This window comes from Homo sapiens, chromosome 9 (genome assembly GCF_000001405.40).
Source record: "Homo sapiens chromosome 9, GRCh38.p14 Primary Assembly".
In the NCBI taxonomy this organism is placed as follows: domain Eukaryota; kingdom Metazoa; phylum Chordata; class Mammalia; order Primates; family Hominidae; genus Homo; species Homo sapiens.
The window spans coordinates 108293416-108319468 of NC_000009.12; the positions used below are offsets into that span (position 1 = coordinate 108293416).

The 26053-nt window shown below is 41.2% G+C and overlaps 1 long non-coding RNA gene across 3 annotated transcripts in view; it reads right to left on the reverse strand.

The window, feature by feature from the left end:
- Nucleotides 1-26053, reverse strand: part of LOC105376214 (uncharacterized) — a 401533-nt gene that overhangs the window by 250171 nt on the left and 125309 nt on the right. For all 3 annotated transcript variants that reach the window (XR_007061722.1, XR_001746882.2, XR_001746881.2), the window contains exons 3-4: nt 21706-21809; nt 17251-17286 (exon numbers count right to left, since the gene is read on the reverse strand). This is a non-coding gene — a long non-coding RNA (uncharacterized LOC105376214). The remainder of the gene's footprint in view (nt 1-17250; nt 17287-21705; nt 21810-26053) is intronic.

Here is a 26053-nt window from a genome sequence, read left to right on the forward strand (position 1 = left end):
AATTTGAGTTTCATAAGTGAAGTCTGATAGGACAATAGAGCATGTTCCTGGAGCTGGGAGCGTCCAGCTCCTGTGCACTCTCACTTCCCACCATGCCCCCACCTGCCTGAATGCATCTTGGCCTCCTGCTTCTCTGAGACTCTGAGACTCCTCCTGAGACTCTGGCTCAAGGCTCCTCTCTATATCCCACAACCACTGGGCACTTCATCCAGGGCAGCAAGTAGGTCTTGTTGGCCTTGCTGGGCTGGAAGGCAGACCTTCTGTCCTTGCCTTCCAGCCCAGCAAGGGCTTGCAGGCGTGGAGAGGGGAGGTACCTGGCATGTGCCCTGCAGCCTCTCTGAATGGGTCAAGGCAGTGACTGTCCTTGCCATGAACTAGTAGCGTTTCAACACCTCTGGCAGGTGACTCGGTGGAGAACTGTCACCCGCTCCTATGGGGGTAGGGAGAACGTCACTGTATAGAGGTTGCAGGCCTTTAGAGGATACTCATTCACACTTGGGATAGCAATCCTGTGGGAAAGGGAGATTGACTTCCCTTGCTGGGGCCTTGCGTTTTTCACTTTCCATGGGCTCTGCAAATTATGTGACCATCCCTACTAGGAATCCAGATCAGAATGACCTCAAAGCCTCTGTTTCCTGCAATGTCCCACAAAGATGGGGATCATGCAGGGCAGGGTATGAGTTTGAGGTCAGAGTGCTTCAGCCAGCCTCACATCAAACGTCTAGACAGGAATCTGGCAGCTCAGCTCCAGCAACGCTGGGCCCCCACACCAGCTGCGAGGGAGAACATCCACCACTCTCCCTGCCCAAATGGCAGCTTTGGTGGTGTCCACATTGTCTCCTTCCCTCTCTCTTCGCATGAGATGCCACTCTGTTTCAGTGTGCAGAAGCAATTCTACACCTACACTATGCCTTAGAGAAATCATGCCAGCGGTGACGGACAGGTGGGATTGAACAAGGACAGACAGGAGAGGCTTTGGAAAAGCTTGTGTGCACAATGGGAAAGAACTGAACCAGGAAGGGAGCAAAAAAAGAAATAAAGGGAAAGGTGACCAACTGTCCTGGCTTGCACAGAACTTTGGGGTGTGAAACCCAGGATATGAAACTTCTGGTGCTAAAACCAGGACATTCTGGGGCAAACTAAGATGGCTGATCACCCTAGAAGGTCAAGTCATCGAAGTAAGCAGCAACTAATGATGGCAGCGTTTTACAGCCTCCAAAGCTCTTTGTCTTTCATTATCAGATCTCATCCTGGCAACAATCATGTGAGAAAGACAGAGCAGGTTACTGTTCCACTTTATTTACGAAGAAACCTGGGGCTCAGAGAATGCAAGTGACTTACCAGAAATCTAATAGCTAATAAGTACTGGAATAAGACCGCAAATCCAGATCTGCTAACGAATACAAATAATAGGGTCTGAGAAGTGATTGAATGTGTTGAGAAACAAAGAGAAGATAGAGGCTTTTTAGCTGACTGAGAGAACATTTCCATGAAAAGAAATAAGAAAATTAGGAGAAAATAATCTTTGGGACAGGAAAGATGGGTTCGGTTTGGAGAGTATCGTGCTCTGAATTCACTGAGCAACATGAAATTTCTCAGGGGGTTGATGTCTTGAAAGCGATCAGCCAAAATTATGTTTACTTAATAGATCAATCTGTCTTAGATACTGCAGAACTCTGACACACACCTTGGCAATGACTTTCTGCTTCTACTCAGAAAATATTCTGGGTCACCTTCCTGACAAGATAAGCAAAGAACTGGCAGTAAATTACTGTGACTGTACAGTGGGCAGGAATAAGCAAGATGTGGCCAATTCTCTGTAAAGGATATGAGTGTGGGAACCACAAAATACCGTAAACTGTGGGGAGGGGAACAAGTTGGGACGCCATCTTTAGAATTTGTTTTCATTGACCTTTGAATTTATGTATTTTTTATTTTTTTGAGACAGGGTCTTGCTCTGTTGCCTAGGCTGGAGTGCAGTGGCGTGATCTAGGCTCACCGCAGCCTTGACCTCCTGGGATCAAGCAATCCTCCCACCTTGGCCTCTGAGTATCTGGGAATACAGGTACATGCCACCATGCCTGGCTAATTTTTGTATTTTTGTAGAGACAGGGTTTCATCACGTTGCCCAGATTGGTCTCAGACTCCTGGGCTCAAGCCATCTGCCCGCTTCAGCCTCCCAAAGTGTAAATTTGTTTCTTTAGCAATCAATATCCAAAAACTGTGCTACACTTGGGGAATGCAAAGTCACAGTGCTGCCATTGGGAAGCTCATAACCCATCTCTGGGGTGCATAGGCTGAGACTCACGTTATAAAACAGGTCTGTACAATGTTTTGAAGGAAATTGCCAACAGAAGTAATGCAAGTGGGGGCTTGAAGAATGCATTAAAAAATTTCCAGGTAGAAAGGCGTAAGAAAGTGCAACCCATTCCTTTTTCATTTATTCAACAAATATTTATTTAGCCTCTTTAATGGGCCTGGTCCTCTTTTAAGTGAAGTGTCTCAAGGATATACAGCTCAAAGATTGAGCTCAAGATACGTGGCTCCTATTTCCACTATCCCGTGACTCCTCCAAAGGAGACCGTGACTTTCTGGAAAAGGGTAAGGACTACAAGTGAAAAATAGGGAGTGGGTCCAAAGATAAATTCCCCTCTATATTTCTCTGTGGCATACTTGCCTTAAGGGTTGAGTTAGACACACAGGCCAAGAATTTATGGAATGGGTACAAAAAACATGGATGCTTACCATTTGGTAAGCATACACCATAATCTCAGCACATTTTAAACTCATTCTAACTTTACTTCTGATGCCAAAACAGAAACTCAGAGAGGTTAAATATGCCCTCAAGGCCACAGAGCCAATAAGTAGGAGAGTCTAGCATGTTTCTGACTCATATCCTATGCTCCTACCACAGCACTGAAATTCCCCCAGAGCCTGTAACTAGAGTGTAACTATTTAGCCATGAAAATTTGAATCCTTCAGATCTCACATTCCACCGGTTGTTCTACTTTTATAATTATCATTACTCTTTCATACTAGTATACAAATTCATCAGTAGTGAGTAGGACTTTTGTGGCAACCATACTTCACAATTGGATGGGTTCTTTTGGGCTCTTGCAAATAGGGACGAGCTAGATGAAATTAATTATTGGATGAACTTTAAGATCTCTCCTTCACTTGAAATGCTGATTCCCTGAAAACTTCAGAATGAGGCTTCAAATCAATCTGTTGACTTTCACTGGTCACCAACACATTTGAAATTTCCCTTCCCACTCTCCCAGCTTTGTTTGTTTTTTGCTTTTGTTTGTTTGAGTGATTGTTTTACTGTGTATAATTCTCCCAAAATGCTAGTAGAGATTAGTAAAGTTATACAAGACCTCACATTATCAATCTAGGCTATTCAAAGCATATGCTAGCACTGACTGTTTTGTGGATATTATTCCTCTTGGTTCCAATTTATGTCAACCAAACAGAGCTTTTGCTACAAACAAAGTTGCAACTACAAAATAAAGTTTTGAAAAAGAGTGTCTGGGCAAGGCACAAGGAAAGACTGTATCTCTGAAATTGACTCTTGGTTTTTAGAAAAAGAAGTGGGGCAGGGGGAGGAGGAGAAGAGGGGATTGTGCCTCCTGAAATTCAGACAATCAATCCAGAGAGGCAGCTCAGCCTCACTTCTGTGGCTGAGAACTTTGACTCCAGCTTCCATCTGGTTTCCATAAGGCAAGAGAACTTGGCAAATGGCTGGCCACGTAACTTCAGCACGTGCACATCCTGACCACGAGCACCAGTAAAAGGAGCCAAAGGGAACAGACAAATTTCTCTCTGTTCCTCTGTATAGTATAGGGAAGAAAGAGTTGCTTTAAAGAGAAACGGAGTGCTCTGCAACCCTATTGGGCAATGTCTTGGTCCATTTTCTGTTGCTATAACAGAAAACCACAGACTGGGTAATTCAGAAAGAAAAGAAGTTTATTTAGCTCACTGTTCTGGAAGAAACTGGGAAGTCCAAGAGCATGGCTCTGGCATCTGATAATTGTCTTCTTGCTGTGTCATAACATGGCGGAGGGCATCATATGGCGAGAGGGCAAGAGTGTACCCACTCACGTCTCTCTTCTTCTTTTTATAAAGCCACCAGCCTCATCATGGAAGCTCCACCATAATGTTTTTATATAATCCTAGTTACTTACCAAAGGCTATACCTCCAAATACCATCAACATATGAATTTGGGGTTTAGGTTTTAAGCACATAAAATCTGAGAGACACATTCAAACCACAGTGGGCAGGTTCACAAAGAACTGCCCATTTAACTGCATCAAAAATGCCCACCTCCGATGGAGATGATATTACCAGTTATTCTAAAAATGTCTGGTAAATGTTCTAACTCCACTGCTGCCTTTAATTCTATATGGTGTGTGCACAGGCAGCAGGATCTAAGTGAAAGAACCTAAACTTGGATCTAGATGGATATGGCATAAGTCAACAGTTCTGTTACTTATAACTGTGAAGCCTTGAACACATTACTTAAACTGCTTGAATAACACAGAGTATTCTGTAATTTATGAGATCTTTGTGAGATGATATATATAAAACATCCTGTACACAGTGGGTGCTTCATAAATAGTATTTATCATTAAGTTTGAGGTGATGCTTTCCTCCAAGATTTTATTATTCAAACACGCTCACAGTGTGTCTGGCTCTAGGATACCGTACATACATCATCTCCATTAATGTTTTGAACATACCTTTGTTGTTTTTATATTATGCCACTTACAATGCTTCAGTTCAAATAATTATGGAATATCTGTTTAAAGGGAGTCTTCAGCTCCATGGCCTTACAGATGAGAATGCAGAAGCAGGAAAAAATGCCACAGCAAGTCAGTGGCAGATCCAGGCCTATCCCAGTATCCCGAATCTCAGTTTTCTGTCTACTATTTCACCTGCCCTCATAAATGTTTCTGAAGCTAAAACAATTACAGTCATCCTTCCAAAAACCTCATCATAAAATTGTAGAGCTGGGATAGAAAAGTTTCTTCCACTGCTGTCTGGCAGGCTGAATTATGGCTCTCAAAGATGCCTGAGTCTCAGAACTGGTGAACATTACTCTGTATGAGAAAGGGTCTTTGCACATATGATTAAGGATTTGGAGCAGGAGAGATTATTCTGGATTATTTGAGTGGGCATGATATAATCACAAGAGTCCTCACAAGAGGAAGCAGAAGAAACCAGAGTCAGAGAGAGGGCCATGTGAAAATGGAAGTGGTAACTGGATGATGGGCTTTGAAGACGGAGAAAGGAGCCACAAGCCAAGGAATGCAGGTCACTTGTAGAAGCTGGAAAAGGCAAGGAAACAAACTCCTCCAAAGCCTCCAGAGGGAACCAGCTCAGTGACACCTTGACTTTAGCCAGTGACACTGATTTTGGGCTTCTGACCTCTGGAACTGTAAGGGAATAAATTTGCATTGTTTTAAGCCACTGAGTTTGTGGTAATTTGTTAGAGCAGCAATACATAACTAATACAACAGTGTAGTACACTGTATCAAAAACACTGAGTGACAGCTAAAATGCCCAACCACTGGGAATTACAAGTTATAAGGGAATATAATGCAGCCTTTTAAAAAGTGTTGATTCAAGTTTATTGAAGTAGGAGAATATGTATATTTTTAAGTGAAAAGCAGTTTATAAGACAGTGTATAGAGTAGGACCCTGTCATGAGAGAGATAAAAAAATAAGATTAAAAGTATATATTCATTATTTAGAGAAATTATCATCAGTGTTGGGATTTTCTATGTTCTAAGTACTTTTCTGTATTCTCCAACGAGGATGCACTAAATGTGTTGATTCTGTAATTAGAAAAAAAGATATTCTTTAAACAAAAGCCTATTTTTCACCAATCCTTTCATTTTATAAAACAGGAAATGTTTATGTAAACCAGAGGAGTTGCTTGCTCAGGGAAGGGATGAAATTTCTCCTCAGTTCAGAATCTGGAAGCTTATTCTTAAATTATCAAAGGTAAAAAAAGCACAAGACTGAATCAAAACTATGAACGCTCAGAGAAATGACACACACTTCCCTCTCCACTTGTAATTTCCCTTCAATGGACTCCCCTTTCATATTAGGAGAGTTAGTAAGTGCTTTCTTCCGTAGACAAATCATGAAAAGCATTAGAGAGCATAACAGCACATGGCATTTTGGAGCTTCTCACAGAATCTCCCAATGCGAATATCAAAGGATTCCAGGCTGAGAAAAACTGAAATGCAGACCTTGATATTGTTGACAGCTGATAAAGCCATGAGACTTAAGTGCTTGCCATTTTTTTGCAGCTCATTTCTCTTCTGCTCTTATGAATCTTTTGACTCTTTCTTCTCATCTGTGTCTCCTTATAGCATGGAGAATCCCTTCACCAACCATCCATGATATCTCTTACTTTAAATCCTTTTTCCTCTCTAATTCAGGAGTAGCATGGACTATTTCTGAGCTGCTACAATATTCCAAACACTGTACAGGGTCCTGGGGTTACAAAGATGAATAAAACAGAGTCTTTGCCTTCAATTAACTTCCAATCTAGTGGTACCAATAAGCGTAGTCAAAAGAAGTAGATCTTATGTTGGAACGACATTAGAAATTGTCACAGAGATGCAAACAGCATGAAAAAGACATTGGGTCTGAGTATAATTCCAACAGAAAATGGGTGATTTCATGAAAGAGGTACATGCTAGTTATCTGCCTCTTTATGATACATTCCTCATCCTTCCCTTGCTCTGCCCTATATCACAGGAAGGTTGCCTCCTGGAAACTGTATTTCCCAGGCTCCTTGATACCTGACTCTAGGCTAGGTTTTGCCAATGGGAGACTCATGCAGGAGATTAGAGGTAAGCAGGAAGAAAACATATTTCTATCTTTCTTAATGCTTCAGGTGGCTTCTCTGGCTATGGCTGAATCTCCATCATGCCTCCATGCCCACCGCAGAGCCCCATCTCCTTCAGTAACACCACCTCCGTTTGTTAGGAATCTCCCTGCTAATGCCATGTCTATCTAACACTGCCAGACCTAGGGAGTCCCTGAGCACTTCCCTTTTGTTATCCCTCCAGCCCCAGTGATGGTAGCAGCTTCCTGTTGATGCTAGCCCCTCACGTGCCTGACCATCTCCTGTTGGACTTTTCATCTTTCCCAACAGCTTTTTGATTCGTTCCCTAGAGTAAATGTCCTGGATTTAACTACCAGGCACGGGCTCTGTCTTCCAGACTCGACCCTCAGAAGAACTTTGTAGAACCAGAAGATTCTCCATTGGCAATGCAAGGAAGAACACTCTTGGCAGAGATTCTAAGCAAAGCAATGACCACAGTCCAGAGTGCAGAAAAGCAACTAGGGCAGGGCCGCTATGTCTTGAGGGTCACCAGGAAATATATTAGAGAATCTGACTGGCAATCTAGGGAGAATGAGACCACAGAGGCTCTTCAGTTATCAGATAGAGTAATATGGGTTTGATTCCACATGCCTGGAGAGTTATTGAAGGTTTTGAGCACAGTGAGATGACCAGATTTGTTCTTTTGGAAATTCAATCCGGAAATGGCAGATTAAACTGCATAACGTTAAGAGCCTAACACAAGGCAAAAGTCATGTAAATAGCAAGGAAGGGTGGATTTAAGCAGAGTCAGTGTGACTTGGCAAGAGAAAAGGGAAGTGTTACAAGTGCATAGGAGGTGTTGAGTTAGAGTGGCTGTCCCTGTGACCAGGAGGAAATCATGAGGTGAGTTTGGTCTGGGCTGAGATGGAAGGAAAAGTACTCATTTGAAAATGTGAGTTTAAAACTCACAGTAGGAATAATCCTGAGGGAGGCTATTTTAAAAGACATTCTCACCCCAATGACAAATCAAGTTTGTTTGATTTGATTGAAGGCAAAATTTAGAAGCTTTATGGCATGAAGCAACACCTCAATTAAATTAATACATTGTAATTATTAATATTGTTATTTTATTAGTGATAAATTTATAAGACTGCAGCATTTTCATGACACAATTGCATTAACTTGTTTTTATTAGTATTCCAGGTAGAATAAAGAAATGTTTTCATGACCTATATTTTAAATACTAGGATGAAATCATCAGCTCACCGTGGGGATAAAAAGAAGGAAGGAAGCTTGGCCCGATCTTATTTCTAAGATAAATCAGTTTTTGTCCTTCTTTTGTATTCCAGACCAGAATTAAAGGTGCAGAAATAATATCTGTGTACACATGTATATTATAATCTTCTAAATTTTTAATCTATCTTTCTAGAACCCCAAATATATCCACTTTGGAAATAACTCCCAAATGTCATTATATGACTAAGCACTCTAATTAGAAACTAAGTGCTAATAATTTGCCCTATTAAAAAGTTAGCATTTGTAAAAGGAATGATTTATTGACCTGTAATGCCACTGAAGCATGATCTGAAAGACATAGAAGACTGAAGTTTTACTTTTCTTAAGAGATTATAAAAATCAGTGGACTTTATAAACATGAGCTCCCATCTAGTAATTTGAGATTGCTTATGTGATTCTGGAGTCCCAAATAATTCCTAGGTGAATCCATTTGTTCCAAAGTTTGCAGGTGCTTTATGATAACTGCTGCTTAAACAGTGTGTGTTTTAGAGATGGAGAGTATGTTTGAGATCTTTTCATCCATTTTACAGAGCAGTAAACTGAGACAGCAGTGGGGCTAAGTGAGTTGTCCAAAGAGGCACAGTGAGTTGGTTGCAGAACCCAGCGTGATTTGCTAACCAGTATTATCATCACATGGCCTTTAGCCCTCCAGGATTGTGGCAGCCTTTGGCGCCACCCTGCATGAACCCAGAGCTTATTATCTGAGCCAGGGCAGGGAGTCTCCCAGATCCATCAAATTTCTTGCCTCTGATGACAGGTAGATGACAGAACGGAGCAAAGTCACAGAAGCTTTGGCTTTGGGGAAGACAGAACCTTATTAGCTTTGTCAGACACTCACTCCTCTGGTTTTACGACTGCAGCTTTCTATATATGGCCCGCCAGGCCCCAGTGGATTTCCCTACTAATGCCATGTCTATCTAATAGTGGCAGACCTAGGATGGCCCTGATCATTTCCCTGATGACAACACTGAAGCACACACATGCCACAGAGCAACACACTGTACCTTCTGTGGCTTGTGCCAAAGTGAGCCCCTTGCTCATAAATGTAGCAGTATGGGTGTGAATTATCAGATGCGCCCTGCTATAGGCCTACATGGCCTTCTCTAATAGAAGTTCTTTCTTGCAGGTTGTGCATCCCCCAAAATTCTAGATCTGTCACTGAACACAGTAACCATGCTGTTTTCTTTCCCAAAAGACTCAGGAGGGTCTTTGTGTGTCACCTCTGTGGCATGTTAGGGTCTAAAGAGAGATGAGTGGCTCTTTCCTGTGCTTCTTCTCACAGGAGACTTGAATCTTTCTTTGTCTCAAGGACCAGAGAGCTCTGGCTCTAACATAAATCACACGTAATCTGCTGGTCACTCACTTCTGCTGAAGGAGGCAGGACAGAATGGAAGCATTATTGGACAGACTCAGATGCTCAGGGCCTCTTAGGGGTATTATGGGTTTATTTATGCCCCTCACCTCCCTGCCACCAAATTCACATGTTGTAGTCCTAACCGCCAGGATCTCAGAATGTGACTGTATTTACATGTAAGGTATTTACAAAGGTAATTAAGGTTAAGTAAGGTCATATGGATAGGCCCTAATCCAGTATGTCTGGCCTCCTTGTAAGAAGAGGGAAAGAAACCAAGAATGTACATGCACAGAGAGAAGGCCACATGGGGACATAACAAGAAAATGGCCATCTGCAATCAAATGAGAGAGAGAGGACTCAGGAGACACCAAGCCTGCCAACATCTAGGTATGGACTTCCAGACTCCATAACTGAAAATGGCCACCTGCAATCAAACGAGAGAGAGAGGACTCAGGAGACACCAAGCCTGCCAACATCTAGGTATGGACTTCCAGACTCCATAACTGAAAACAAATGTTGTTTAAGCCACCCATTCTATGATATTTTGTTATGGCAGCCCTAGGAAACTAACACCGAAGGCAATTCAAAAAGTAGCATGGAGCCAAACCTTGATTCTAGAACCCAGCACCAAAGGGTGGGGATAAGCTTCATGTCTTTGGTTGCTTCCTATGACCACATCTGACCAGTTTCCCTATGAAAGAAGCACAAGCCAAGGTAATCAATCTCTCAAGTAATGCAAGGGAAGAATGGTGGCCTCATAGCAACGCAGATTTCCTTTTGGCAGCCATAGAGCAGGGTCATATTTCAGGGAGCAACCCATATCCAGAGATTCTCTCACCCAAGAAAATATCTGTCATATCAAATCTCCTTAATCTATTTTTTACAATCCTGGCATAGGTAGTAAGATCTCATTAATTCAAACTTCCTACATATTTGGATTTTGTGATAGAAGTTGTACTAAAGTTTGTCTTTATACAGGGTATAAATGAAGTTATAAAGAAAATCAATCAATCAACTTCAAAGAAACTGTCATATTGACTTCGATCAGCTTCAAATATGTTAGAAACATACACTTGAATGTAAACAATGGCTGTATCAACTTCAAAGCAATTCTCTCTCTCCATAGAGCAGTGCCTTCTCTCCCTTTCTCACCCTAGAAGAGTGGTTCTAAGACTTTGCTCACTTTGAAAGTTGATTTAAAGAAATCAGAAGGATGAATGACAATCCAACAGATCCCACGGGAACGAGAGGACAGGGCCAGTATGATTTATTCTCCTTCAACATCTCCAATATACCAAAAATATCTAACACACAACAGGCACTCTATAAGTGTCAATTCCATTCTCCTTTGCCAATTAATCTAAATAATGAGATTTTACTACAGTAATTGATTTAAGTCCTGAAGGATAAAAAAATTCATAATGTATTGACTTGAAGCAATTGGAGATCATCAACTCCAACTCCTTTATTCTAGCATATAGAAACAGAGGCCAACAAAGGTTAAGAGACTTCTTCAAGTTCATTCACTCATCCTAGTGCCTTTCATGTGGCAAGCTCTGAGCTTTGTTGTTGACAAAGTCAGACCAGGATCCGGGGCCTCTGACCCAGAATTCCTTCCAATCTTATTCCACTGCTGCCTTTGAGTTAATTTTGTTTCAGAAATCATTGTGTGAGCACAGGTAAATCTTGCTGTCTTTTTCTACATGTATTTAAGGTTGATTCTCCTTCCTTGAGTGTAGTAAAAAAAAAAAAACAAAAAAAAAAACAGTTACAAATAAACCCTAAGTATGGACAGGCTTACACTTAGAGAAAAAAAGAAAAAAAAACAATCTACAAATGCTACTTAAGGCATTTGAGAATGCCTAAGAAGTTTCATTGACCCCCTATTTTGAGCATAACTCGGACACAAGTAACACTTGTTAAATTAAATTAGATGTACAAAGCATTCTAATGGGAACATCAGGGAGATGTGAGCCAAGTCATCTGGAGGGGAGTTGTGCAGCTGAAGGTGGGGAGGTTGGGAACAGATCAAACTTATTTTGAAAAAGGACTAAAAGTTCAGAGAAAGAGGGGAGGGTTGTTCTAGGCAAAGCAAACAGAATAAACATACATGCACAAGAGCATATGTTCAATGTGGAATCTGAAAATGCTTGAAAAAGCAGAAGGTAGGCCAGGCATGGTGGCTCACGCCTGTAATCCCAGCACTTTGGGAGGCCAAGGCAGGTGGATCACCTGAGGTGAGGAGTTCAACACCAGTCTGGGCAAGAGGTGAAACCCCATCTCTACTAAGAACACAAAAATTAGCTGGGCATGGTGGCAGGTGCCTGTAATCCCAGCTACTCGGGAGGGTGAGGCAGGAGAATCCCTTGAGCCCAGGAGGCAGAGGTTGCAGTGAGCTGAGAGCTGAGATTGCGCATTTGCACTCCAGCCGGGGCAATGAGCGAGACTCTATCTCAAAAACAAACAAACGAACAAATGAAAGCAGAAGGTAGAATACAAAAACATGCCATTAATACTTTGTAACCCTCCTGTATAAGAATTTACATAGTTATTTTTAGTCTGAGTTTAGTATGTTTCATTTTGCTCATAATCTGTCTTTTTCAAGTTTCCAAGAGTGCCTTGAGTGCAAATACAACAACTTTGTGGAAGAAATCAATATTTGCCCTTCTATGTGCTTTCTAATTTAAGCTTAGTAATTCAGCTAATATTTCAGCCATGTCTCTAAACTGGTCATAAAGAAGGCTGAGAGGCTTCCAAGCTTGTAAACGAACCAAACGTACAGAGTACTATACCTGCTATCTTACAGATTGTTCTTATTTTACTGGTGCCAAAAAGAAAAAAAGTGTGGGCGGGGGGCAGGTAGAAAGTCGTCAGTGATAAATTTCTTCAGAAGAGAACTTATGATCCAAGCAGCAGCCACAAACACAAACCCACCCCCGCCCCCCCCCGACCCCGCCCCGACACACACACACAACCTGCTCATCTACTTAATGCTTTGGAATGTAACAGAGACCAAAAATAGTATATTTCATGTGGAATCCTGGAAACATTTTTAAAAGAAGAAAAATAACAATTTAGGAGGAGATGCTTCAATTTTTCCATAGTTATTACTGAAAAGAAAATCTTGCCTCTGGCTATTATACAATATCTGGTACCACACAAGCTCTCCTACCATAATGCTTAAAAGTAGCAGCAAATAATTAGAAAATTAAATTTAAAGTACTATTTGCAATAGCATAGAAATATAATCTTATTAGAAATAAATTAATGAAAGATATACAAACACTCTACATTACAAACTATAAACTTTCCTGAGAAAAATTTCCTGAGAAAAAGTTTGGGCTCAGGTGATCCTTCTATCTTGACCTCCAAAAGCATTTGGATTACAGGCATAAGCCACTGCACCTAGCTAGAAAAAATTTTAAACATCTAAATAAATGTATAAAAGTACTATGTTTATGCATCAGAAAGCTCAGTGTTATAAAACTCAATATTGTCAACATTTGAAAGTCTAAATAAATGTTTAGGGATACTATGTTTATGAATTAGAAAATTTAATTTATTTACAAATTGATCCACTGATGTAATGCAACCAAATTTCTAGCAGGCAAGATGATTCAAAAATTTATATGGGAGTGCAAAAAACCAAGAATAGCAAAAGCAGTACTGAAAAAGTACAAATATTGGGTGACTCACCCTACCTAATATAAAGATTTACCATAAACGTCAAGAGGCAATACATAATTCTATTGGCCAAAGATATAGACACAGTTTAACTAAGTAGTCCAGATATGAACCCGCACATATATATGGTCAATTGACTTTTGACAAATACATCAGCATAACTCAATGAAAGTATTTTCCATATAGACTTCTAAAACAGCTGAATATCCATGTGCAAAAACTGAAAAAGAATCTTAGCTCCTACCTGTTGCCATATGCAAAATTTAATGCAAAATAAACCACAGACTAAAACATAAAAGATAAAACAACACAAGTTCTAGAACAAAACAAAGGATAAAATATTCATAAACCTTGGATAGGCAAAGATTTCCTAAACAAAACACAATAAGCATGGATCATGAAGGCAAACAATAATAAATTTATCTTCATAAAAATTAAAACTTTCTGCTCTTAAAAATATTATTAAGAAAATGAAAAGGTTAGCCACAGACAGGGAGAAGATATTCACAATATGGATATGTGACAAAGGACTAGAATCTAGATCATAAAAATAAGTCTTCCAACTCAATAATAGTAAGAGAAAAATTTAAACAAATAAATAAATGGACTAAAGATTTGAATAGGCACTTGATAAAAGAAGATATATTAATGGCCACAGAGCATAAAAAGAGAGCAAACATCTGTAATCATCAGGGAAATACAAATTAAAACCACAATTAAATCCCATTACACATCACTTAAATGACTAAAATTCAAAGAGTGATAATAAGAAGTGTTGACACAGACATGGGGCAATTCATACATTGATGCTTCGGTTGCAAAATGGTGCAACCACTTTAGAAAAAAGATTGGTAGTTTCTTTTAAAGTTAATCATACACTTCATTCAGCAGTTTCAATACTAGGTATTGAAGAGAAATAAAAACATATTCATTTACATGAAAAAAATTCATTTACATGAATATTTAAAGCAACTTTATTCACAACCACCCCAAACTGGAAATAACCCAAATGTTCATCATGGGAAATAGCCCAAATGTTATCTACTGGTGAGTAGATAACTGAACGATGGTATATTCAAACAATGGAATACTAATCAGTAATAAAAAGGAACAGACCACTGATAGGTACAATATGGAAAAATCTTAAACACTATGCTGAGTGAAAGAAGAAATGAAAGAGCACACCCAGTATGATTTAATTTACATAAAGTCCTTGATCATGTAAAACTAATTTATAATAATGGAAATCAGAAAAGTGTTTCCCTGAGGCAAGGAATATGTGGGGGATCAACTACAAAGGGCCATCCGGGAAGTTTTTGGAGCAATGAAAATCTTATGTGTCATGACTGAAGTGGTGGTCACACTTGTGTATACATTTGTCAAAACTCATCAAGGTGTACACTTAAAATGTGAGCATTGTATTGTATATCAATTACATTGGAAAAAAATTGGTTCAAAACATAAAGATCATAAAAATAAAGAGGGGCCGGGTGTGGTGGCTCATGACTGTAATCCCAGCACTTTAGGAGGCAGAGGCGGGTGGATCACAAGGTCAGGAGATCGAGACCATCCTGGCTAACACGGTGAAACCTCGTCTCTATTAAAAATACAAATAATTAGCCAGGCATGGTGGTGGGCACCTATAATCCCAGCTACTTGGGAGGCTGAGGCAAGACAATCGCTCGAACCTGGGAAGCGGAGGTTGCAGTGAGCCGAGATCATGCCATTGCACTCCAGCCTAGACAACAGAGTGAGACTCCCTCTCAAAAAACTAAAAATAAAATAAAATAAAGAGGGACAAATGCACTATTTTATAGTTTACAAAGGGGTTTGATTGTTTGCTTGATATTGACCCTTACCACCACCTTGTGAAGTAGGAATGCATACAAGTTCTTGTTGTGGAAAAGTCACAAAATTATGTTTTGTTCCTGAGCTGCAGTGTCTCACTTGGCTCTGGAATTCATCCACACACCTTGGGGGAATAAGAAAAAAAAAACCCACTCCCTATGCACACAAATTATAAAGATGCTTTGAATGGTTCATTGCCTAGATATGGAGGAGGGTTGTCTATGGTAATAATGGTTGTACTGATTATTTTTTCTTCTGCATTACTGGCCAGGCATTGCACCAAGATCTACTCAAGTAATTCTCAAAACAGTCCTGGGAGGTAGGCATTATGATCTCCATATACAAATGAGGACATTGGGCCTCAGCAAATTTAAGGGACTCACCAAAGTTCACACAGGCACAGCTGGGGGTCTAGGTCTGATAGACTCAAAGCCCCAGCTCTTTCCATGCCACCATGTTGGCTCCATATTTCAGATAAATGGGACTAATTTTATTTGTAATGACTAAAGTTATTCAGGGGTGCTGGCTAGGAGTGGTCCTTTGGAGAAGATTGAGATAGAGTCCATAGAACTTCAGGTCTAGGACAATGTGGTCTGCACCCCAAAAATCATGTGGGGGCCAATGCCTCTCTTACCTGATGGATGGACATTGAGTTACAAAAGAAAGAGGTATGTCAGTCTGTGAAGGAACAAGGAACTGCATTTGGGCATCTGCGACAATGAGTGCTGATGGGAAGAAGCGGGAGAAACTTCCGCATGGCCATGCAGGCAGCAGCCCCCCGTGTGAGATGATGTTTCTGGTAGGGGATCTGGATCCACACAATTCTTGATGCAAAGTATTTTAGGATGCAGATGTCATGTGGGGAAATCGTTCATGAAGACCCACTTCTCATTTAAAGAAGAAAATTAAAAGGGACATCAGAGCGTAATGGATTATTAGGATTGATTTGGGGTTGAGTGCCAACTCTAACATTTGGTGAAAACAGGTTTGAAATAGAGAACGCTGATGTAAAACCTGGCTCTGTACTTACTAGCTGTGCAATCTTGGGCAAGTTACTGCACCTCTCTAAGCTTCTCTCTTCTCAGTTGGCAGACGCAAATAATGATGCCTACTTGACAGCACAGATGGAAGACGGATGTTTACAAAGTACCTTCCTCGGTGTCTAGTACTAGGTAAATGTTTGACCCTCTCCTCTTGTGGGTAACCCTTCAGGAACCTTAGGCTTCAACCTTGATTTGAATCCCTAAATTTTAGCTCTGCTGGCACTTACTTGTCTGAAACTGCAGCTGCCCCCAGGGAGTGGAGCCTGTTGGAAGCCAGTCCTCTTTCTGTTCCTTCCTGCTTATCCTGTCTCCCTAGGTCCTGGCATTCCACCTACTCCCAGGATTAATGCTGTCTACCCCTTGCTTCTGGATCTCTGAAGTCTTCCTAGACTCTGTCACAGCTCTCCATCATCAACCTGCCCAGAGGGTCTGCCCTAACATTCCCTGCATGGGTTCCGATGACAAGGGTGGAAACAAGTTTCTGATCTGATAAAAACTCAGTCACAAAGGTTCCAGGCATTTCTGCTGAATCTCTGTATAACTGGGCTTAACAAAAGACAAAGCTGATCATGTCATGTTCTTGATTAAAATCTGTCTCATATTTCCTCAAGATAAAGTTCAAAATCCTAAGCATGGCCTGCCATGTCCCACAGGACACAACACATGGCACTCTCTCTAACTTCCTCTCTCACTACCTTCCCCTCCACCTGCCATGACCAGCACCACAGACATCCTCTACCTTCCAGCCAGACTGAATTACCTGCCCTTCCCAAACACGCTCCACTCTTACTTGCCCCAGGGACTTTGTACATCCTATTTCTCTTGCCTGGGATCCTTGCCTCCCATCTCCTTCAATACCCTCTTCCCGACTCATCTCTGTCTTTTGTAAATCAGTTTGGCCATCACCCAAGAAGTTATCTTTGACTTCCAGGACTTATTTGGGGCCCTTCTTGGGTGTACTCCTGGCTTGCTAAACTTCTGTTTTAAGACTAATCACCTTTAGTCGGTTTCATTGTGTCTTTCCCACTAGACTGTAAACACTCTGAGAGTGGACTTGCATTTAGATTCCTGTGCTCCAGCACCTACCAGAGTGCCTGGCACAGAAGGGTACTCAGGGAGTGCTTATACATGAAAAGAACTAAAGCAAGTCAGGAAACACACTTGATGAATGACAACCACATACCTGTGAAGCAGGTGATGGGCCTTGGAAAAGACAACCCTAGAGGAAAGAAGACAAGAGTAAGAATTTCTGTAATAAACTTTCTGTGAGATTTTCCAAAAGATCTGAGCACATGGAGCCGACTGCAATCCAAGACCACTAGACCACCCTGGAAAAGCACTGCCTTCTCAGAATTGCATGGGAACCCACGTCTGCCCACATTATGCTCTGAGGCCACACAGTCTGAAAATGGAGTGTCACATTTTTTGGTCTGAGCTGTGTGCTGGCCTGCTCCAAAGCTGAAGGGAACAGCATTCTCTAGGCACAAAGAATGCACTCAGACCCACTGACTAGGAATGTATTTTTAAACCAAAAAGTTTGGGAAGAGTTAAGCAGCCTGCAAGCTTTTAGAGATCTGTAGCAAATGGGATTCAGCACAGAGACCTCCCAGGATGCAGGATTTGTACCAGACAGGAATCAAAGTTGTCCCAGATCTGGTAAAGATTTCTAAGGGCTTAAGTAATTGTCAGAGATCTATTTGCAGCGGGTCCCCAAGGTGGGTGCTAAGATGCAATGTCTGTTATCATGCAAGACCTACAAGTGCAGGCTTCTTTGCCCCAGCTGACGGGCAAATTTTGACAAAGAATAGGCTTAGTTGAGAGTACCACTGAATCATTGTGATATTGTTGAATAGAAAGACTTCAGACTAATGTCTGGCTGTGACATGGACCTGTTATTAATGACTGTCTCCTGCAAGCTCTATTTTTTTCATCTCTGAAATGTAGACCCACTGAAACTGTATTCCCAGGGGACCATGTATCAGGACAATGAATCTAACAGCTGATTGATCTAGCACAGCAGTTGAGAGGGTGGTTTGAAGAGTCTGGATGCCTGGAATGAATCCTGGCTTCACTACTTGTTGTGTGTCATCTTTTCTTAAACTCCAAGTCTCAGTCTCTACACCTATAAAATGGAAATAATGAAAAGACATAGAAGAGTACTCATTCAGTAAAGTGAAGATTCAACATAAAACCCTTGCAAGTTCTTGTCACACAATCAAATTAATAAATGTTAACCATCATTAGTGAAATGGGACTATCCTTGACAGTCTAGGATGCATGGTAAACTTTGTCCTTAAGGACGGAATCTTTGTTTCAGTGGTTCCCCTTACGATATTCCAAAACAACTTTGCAGCTTCAACTCAAAGATAGTCACTGATTTGGCTTTGTCCTACATTTCAGTCAACACATATTTACTGAGATGATGTGTCCAGCCAATGCTGGGCTCTGAGGCTCTGAGGCTGCAAAGATGAAGAAGAAATAGTCCCAGCCCCTTCTGAACTCACAGATGGCTGAGAGAGTTCAATTCAAAAAGACATCATCACCGAATTAGCTCTATTTTATTATAGTCTGATAAGTCAAGTGAGAGAGGGAGACCAAGGGGACTGTGGACACACAGAGAAGAGGCCTGAGGTATGTGAAAGGCTTTCTAAAGGACAAGAGGGGAAAGGGGGTCTTCCAAATAATGGGAGGCAGAATTTGGCAGCTGGGGAAGGCAGGGTAAGCAAGTTCAACACGGGAAACAGCCAGGACAAAGGCCCAAAGATGCCATGCCATCTGGGAACAATTGGAATGACCTGGGGATGTGAGAGTAATTCACTGAAGCTAGAGGCCAGAGTGTGAAGGCAGTGATGAATTTGGGCCTTGGTAGGTAGAGGCCTGTTAGGGAGAACTCATGAGCTGAATGCAGATTTCTCAACCTTGGCGCTATTGACATGCTGGACAGGGTGATTGCTATGAGAGTCTGTACTGTGCATTGCAGAATGTTTAGCCCTGGCCTCTATTCACTGAATGCCAGTAGCAAGCCCCTCTATCACAACCCTGTCATGACACCCCAAAATGTCTCCAGATATTATAAAATGACCAGCAGAGGTAGGGGCAAATTCACACCTTCCCCTCCCTCTGTTGAGAATCACTGGACTAAACTAAGGACTTTGAGCTTTAGACTGGTTTAGAGGCTCTTAAGGTGAAGTGACATGGTCAGATATGCAGTTAATTCAGATTACTTTGGATTAGAAACACAGCACAAAGACAGCCAATCTGGTTCAGGAGCTATTACAACAGTCTAGGAAAGAAATTATAAATGACAATGGAAATATTAACCAAGGGAAGTTTTCTCTCTCTCTCTCTCTCTCCATCTACGTAATATAATGGATTATTAGTATATATACAAATATATAATAGTGTATATAATACATATAGTAGTATATTAAGGCACACACACTAATTGGTGCTGTAAAAAAGTGGAGAGTGACTATAAGAGAAGACAGTGGTAAGTCTTTATCTCTTCTCCCAGGATAAATAGAAATTTTTTTTGAATTGTTTAATAATTCTCCAGAATAATTATAAATACCATCACTGCACTTTAAAATTGCTAACAGCATTTTACAAACATTAGCTCATGGAATTCTCACCAGAGCCCCATAAATTAGGTTTTATAGTCCCCATATTAAGGATGAAGAAAGTGAGGTTTAGAGAGTTAACAATTTACACAAACTGATGCAGCCAGTAAACTGTGGAGCGTGGACTCACTTCTTGAGTCCAAATTTCATTCTCTTTCCACTGTATCCTGAAAGATGTTTCATAAACACAAGGCTTATGGTACTCTGATTCATTGCAATCAGTTCGATCTGGGGCATGTTAAAAGAACTCCGTTTAATTTTTCAAACAATACATTTCCAAGCAAATGATCTCATAAAAATACGAAAGGAAGAGAATCCCCAAAAGTGGAAAGTTTTATATGACTTGTATGCCTGCTTTCTTTTTTCTCTTTTTGTTTCGGTGTTAATGAAGGACATGCTCTTTCTTTCCTTACTCAGTCCAGGCTCTTGTAACTATGCTCACCAGCCCTAGCTGAAGCACAAACACCACGCGCATATTTGTCCCTAGAAACTCTTCAGGCTTCTGTGAACTTGACACCTGAAGTGAATGTGCAGTTTGCCACACCAGGTAGGCCACTGAGGAAGTGGCAGAGAGGATCAAATCCTTTACTTAATTTGTCTGAATGTCCCTTGTTGCCAACAAATCCTTCTTGTTTATGTTGGGAAGAAGAAAAATAAGTGGGTTAGTGACATTTATTTAGTTTCATTTTAAATGAATAAATAATAATTGTATCTAGGTACAAGTTACAATGTGATGTTTTGATATATATTTCCAATGTGGAATGACTACATCAGGCTAATTAAACGTATCAACTCACATACTTATCATTTTGGGGGGGTGAAAACATTTAAAATATTTTTGCGATTTGGAAATACACAAGGATTATTATTAGAGTCACCATTCTGTGCAATAGACTAAAGTCTATTCCTACTGCCTAACTGAAATGTTGTACCTTTTCATCAACATCTCCCTTTCCCCATCCACCCCCCTTCCTAGCCTCTGGTAACCATCATTCTACTCTCCACTTTTATGAATTCAACAGTTTTAGATCCCACATATATGTGAGATCATGTGGTATTTGTCTTTCTCTGCCTGGCTTATTTCAGTTTGCATAATGCCCTCCAGCTTCATCCATGTTGTCAAAAATGACAGGATTTCTCACCTTTTTAAGGCTGAGTAGTATTCCACTGTGAATATATACCCTATTTTATTTATCAGTTCATCTGATGATGGACATCTGGGTTGTTTCTATAGTTTAGCTATTATGAATAATGCTGCAATTAACATGTGAGTGCAGGTATCTCTTCAGCATACTGATTTTAATTCCTTTGGATATACAACCAGAAGTGAGATTACTGGATTGTGTGGTAATTCCATTTTTAGTCTTCTGAGGAAACTTCATACTGTTGTCCATAATGCCTATATATTTTTTGCTGGTGCAAAGTTTACGGCTGATAAATCTGTCTAAATGTTGTTAACAGGTCAAGTGCACCTGGGGGCTAAATGTGATTCAGCCAGACTTGTGAATGAATGTGTTTTCCCTAGTTGCATCCACACATCATTTGTTACACTGTTTGAAAGACTTGACTGGTGGCTGTACCCAGCCCTGTCTCCACCCTGAGTTTTAAAGCTTGCTCCATTTACAGAGTTTTCCAGCAATTCTAGGAAAAAAATTTTCTGGAAGGAGCATCAGTGTTGTTCTGCACACTGGGCAGGAAAGAGAGATGTTACTGAATGTATTCAAACTACATTGTTGCTCTATTTTTTAACATAAATTTGCTTGAGAATTTGATTAAAAGTCAGAGGCTAATTTGGCCACGGGAGGTTGAAAGAAACAAATATTTATTCAGAGCTTATTAAGGGCTAGGATTTGTGTTAGACACTCTGCTGCTTATCTCTTTAATTCCAACCACAATTCTGTGAGAAATCATCCCTTTATCCTCATTTTCTAAAAAGACACTTGGAGGCTCAAGAAGTACAAACAACTTGCCCAAGACCACTCAGCAAGTAAGGAGCAGAACTGACAATATTTACTCACTCTTTAAACCATCAGTTGAGAGTCTGCCATTGCCATGCACTGTTCTGGGCACTGAAGATATATCGGTGACCAAACAGACAAAACCCTCTGTGTACAGAGAGCACCTGGATGGAGAGATAGAAAATAAACATAATAAACATGTAAAATGCATGGTATGTTAATTAAATATAAGGTAACAGGTGCTGCAGTAGTTAATGATGCTGTTTACCAAATATTTCCAGGGCTTGGGTTTCCATGTGCCTGGCTCTGGCAAATGAATGGTGAGTGGTTTCACTTCTGGGCTGGAGTGTGTAATTGCTAGTTTAAGACCCTCCGGCACACTTTCTGCCCCCTGCCATGCTGATGGGCAAGAGTCCAGGTGGTGCTCACTCCATCAGCCTGACTTACAGGTAAGCACTCCAGAGTCAGCCTCTGTGGTAGGGGACCACTGGATTAGAATGAATCTGGAAGGAGGAATGAGGCTATATGAAAGAAAAAGGGAGAGGTCCACTGGGGTAGTAATGAACACTGAATTCTGAGCATTACAATAAGGGATTACTGTGAGGTCCTGCCCTGGGGTTCAAGACCAGCTGAGCAAATAGCCCAGAGCCAGCAGACAGGGGAATAGGCTCCAATGGGCTACCTTCCATTATAGCAGGGAGCATGGTACAGTGAAGGAGATGGGGAAGATGTCGTGTAGACACGGGATCAAATCTTCATTGTCCCATTAACCAGCTGAAGAAAAATCTTAACCTTGAAATAGTTAAATTCTGAATTTCATTTTATTTGCAAAATGTAAGTAACAAACTTTTGCTTTATGGAATTGTTATATTAAGACTTAAATCAGGTGGAGTCTATGAAATGAAAGTGCGCCAGCTGTCCTCTGTCGCCCCCACCCCAGTGCTCTTCCTTAGCACCTGGTCCTTGGAATTATGAATTCTGTGTTGTCTGCATCTGGCTTCAAGCATGACTTTTCCTAGCTAAATTAGATTGCCTTTTCTTTTAAAAGGTTGGTTCTTGTTTTGTTTTGTTTTTCACTCTAGTTTCTTTGTTTTGTTTTGTTTGGGTGTTTTTTGCTTTCCATTTGTCTTCAAAAAATGGTTTATGTATCCACTGTTTAACATTCCAAAGACAGGACACTTTTCTCAACATAGTTTTGTGTTGTGTAACAAACGCATTGCTTCTCACTTCCTATGAGAGCTGTTCTATCTTCTTCTCCTCTCCTTTGCTCTCTTTCCTTCCTACAAAGAGTGAAGAAGAAAGTTTCCTAACGGCCCCTGTCTCCTGAATCACCCTCCCTTCTCTTGGGACCCCGCCTGTTGATGGAAATGTATAATTGGATTAAACAGGTTTATGTCTTCTCGTCCTGTTTCCTGTGTAATTTATGTCCTTCATCACACATCTGTTAAAAGAAAAAAAAGGAGAAGAAGAAGGAAGTGTCTTCCTTGTTCATAGAGAAAAATCAATTATCCTCCCCTCTAAAATGAAATCATATGTATTTATTTGGTGGAAAATCTTCAAAGAAACTAAGAGGATCTCTCTACAATATTCAGGCCACCCATACAACTCCCCCCCCCAACCCCTGTGTCTGCTTTGATGTTTTATTAATCAAAAGTGTGTTAGTTACACACTGGGCACTATAACAAATATGAGCAAGACATGATCTGATCCTTTCCCTCAAGGAGCACAGAGTCTAGAAGAGGAACTAGACATGGCACATTGCATTACAGTGTGACTCACAGTGCTGAGAGCAATGGTCAGAGGTGGCCCAGGGAATGCAACTGATTTGAGGCTCTGGTATAGCTAGAACCAAAGGGTAGGGGCAGGAGTGAGGGTCCTGTGAAGACAGAGAGGTGGGAGATAAGGTTTGAGTGGTCAGCCAACCATTTCATAAAGAGCTCCAGTTCTAAGGGGAAAAAAAAAGTGTAGAATTTATTTGTTTTCCCCAAGAGAGAAGAGGATTAGAGCAGGCATCTCCAAACCCTGGGCCAGGAATCAGTACTGGTCTGTGGCCTGTTAGGAACCACGCCACACAGCAGGAGGTCAGTAGTGGGTGAGCTTTACTTTTCATCTGTACTTTACAGCCACTCCCCATCACTCACATTACGACCTGAGCTCTGTCTACCGTCAGATCAGTGAGGGCATTAGATTCTCATAGGAGTGCAAACCCTGCTGTGAACTGCGCATGCAAGGGATCCAGGTTGCACATTTCTTATGAGAATCTAATGCCTGATGATCTGTCACTGTCTCCCATTACCCCCACATGGGACCGTCTGGTTGCAGAAAAACAAGCTCAGGGCTCCCACTGATTCTACATTATAGTGAATTGTATAATTATTTCATTATATATTACAATGTCATAATAATAGAAATAAAGTGTGCAATAAATGTAATGTGCTTGAATCATCTGGAAACCATCCTCCCACCCCACCACCTCATCCATGGAAAAACTGTCTTCCACGAAACCAGTTCTTGATGCCAAGATAGTTGGGGACCGCTGGATTAGAGGATTTTGGCTTTGGAGATTGACTCCAGAGTAAATCTGGATTGGTTCTAATTCAGAAATGGAAAATAGAAGCAGAAAAAGAATGGAACTAGTTAGACACTGTGCTGAGAAATGAAATCAGTTATCTCTTTTGATTCTCACAATACCCCAGCAAGGACCTGCTTCACCAGAAGCTATTATTCCACTCAGTTTATACTTGAGAGGGCTATGGTTCAGAAAGACTAAATGGGGAAAGGGTTATCACTGCTCTACTTCCCACCAGGGTTGACCACTGGGGATCAGCAGTGTGTGTGGGGTCAGCAGTGTGCATGCATGCATCGCTCTAGGGTAAGATGGGCTCTTGTGTGGTGGCCCAGGGCCAGGTGCCCTGTATCTGTCTGATGGACTGAGAGCCAAGGCAAAGCTCTTCCCAGTGATGGTTGGAAAACCAAAATGATATGTCCTTACTATGTGGGTTTTTTCCCACACATTTGTTCACTCCATGGGCTTTTATAATTATGGTGCCCTGAACCTGACAAAAGCTAGATGTTATGATAGATAAGCCAATGGTAGCTGGAGGAAAGATGCACTCCCAGTAAAATGTACAATTACCAGGGATGGCACAACCCCAGCCAAGGGTCCTAAAGCCCCTAAAACACTTTTGCTTTCTCCCATTTTCAACATTGATATGCAAGTGGAGCTTAGACCCTAGAACACCACAATTGGATGAACAAGGCTTGCATAAAAGATATGTGGTCTTCGTGAATCTTTGCCTTGAAATCTAGAGAAGCATGTCATAGGGGGACCAGGGCCATCTTCACCAACTACTCAAATGGTGTTTCCCACATCGCTATCTGAGACAGATAAGACAGTTGCTGGTATTGGGGCTCCAAACAATTCCCACTGGCAGGTCATTTCTCCAGCAGCCTTCCTCCCTGGGGTGGACTACTTTGTGTGCATGGATAAGGACATGAGGCCTACTAATGACCTGAGAAAGGAGACCTCCCTCACCCTTGCTTCTATAGGGTCCATCAGAAGGAGTTTACCAAAGACCTTGGTCTTTGTCTCAAGCCCACATTCTCAAAAAGGAATGTGATTTTATTTTATGGTCACTTGCAGACTCACCAAGGCCTGTCACCAGGTAAGAATGATTGATAAAAATAAACAACAATGTGGATGTTGGGCAGAACCAAAGCCACTTGAACAAGAACCTGGTTCTCCAGAAACCAGTTGATATGATTTGGCTGTGTCCCCACCCAAATCTCACCTTGAACTGTAGTTACCATAATCCCCACATGTTGTGGGAGGGACAAGTGGGAGGTAATTGGATCATAGGGGCAGTTACCTCCATCCTATTCTCATGATAGTGAGTGAGTTCTCACAAGATCTGATAGTTTTATAAGGGGCTTTCCCCCTCTTTGCTCTGCACTTCTCCTTGCTGCCACCATGTGAGGAAGGATGTGTTTGCTTCTCCTTCCACCATGATTTTAAGTTTCCTGAGGCCTCCCCAGCCCTGTGGAATTGTGAGTCAATTAAACCTCTTTCCTTTATAAATTACCCAGTCTCAGCTATGTCCTTATTAGCAGTGTGAGGATGGACTAATACACCAGTCAAAGCCATTTTCCTGGATTGTATGTGGGATAAAGAGCTGCCAGGCTGACCTGAAGAAGCTCAGAGATGTAGCCAAAGAATCACTATATAATCTGTTTAAAGGGCTAGGCTTCCAAGAAGGACTGAAGTAGTGCAGGGAAAGGTGTGAGGGATCCTAGTAGGAGGGCTATTTGTCCTCCTTACAGGTCAGCCTCATTGGGCCCAGTTTTCTCAGATTACATGTAACTCCTCTTCTTTTTTCTGTTTCCTTGAAAACTATTGCACAAATACAGC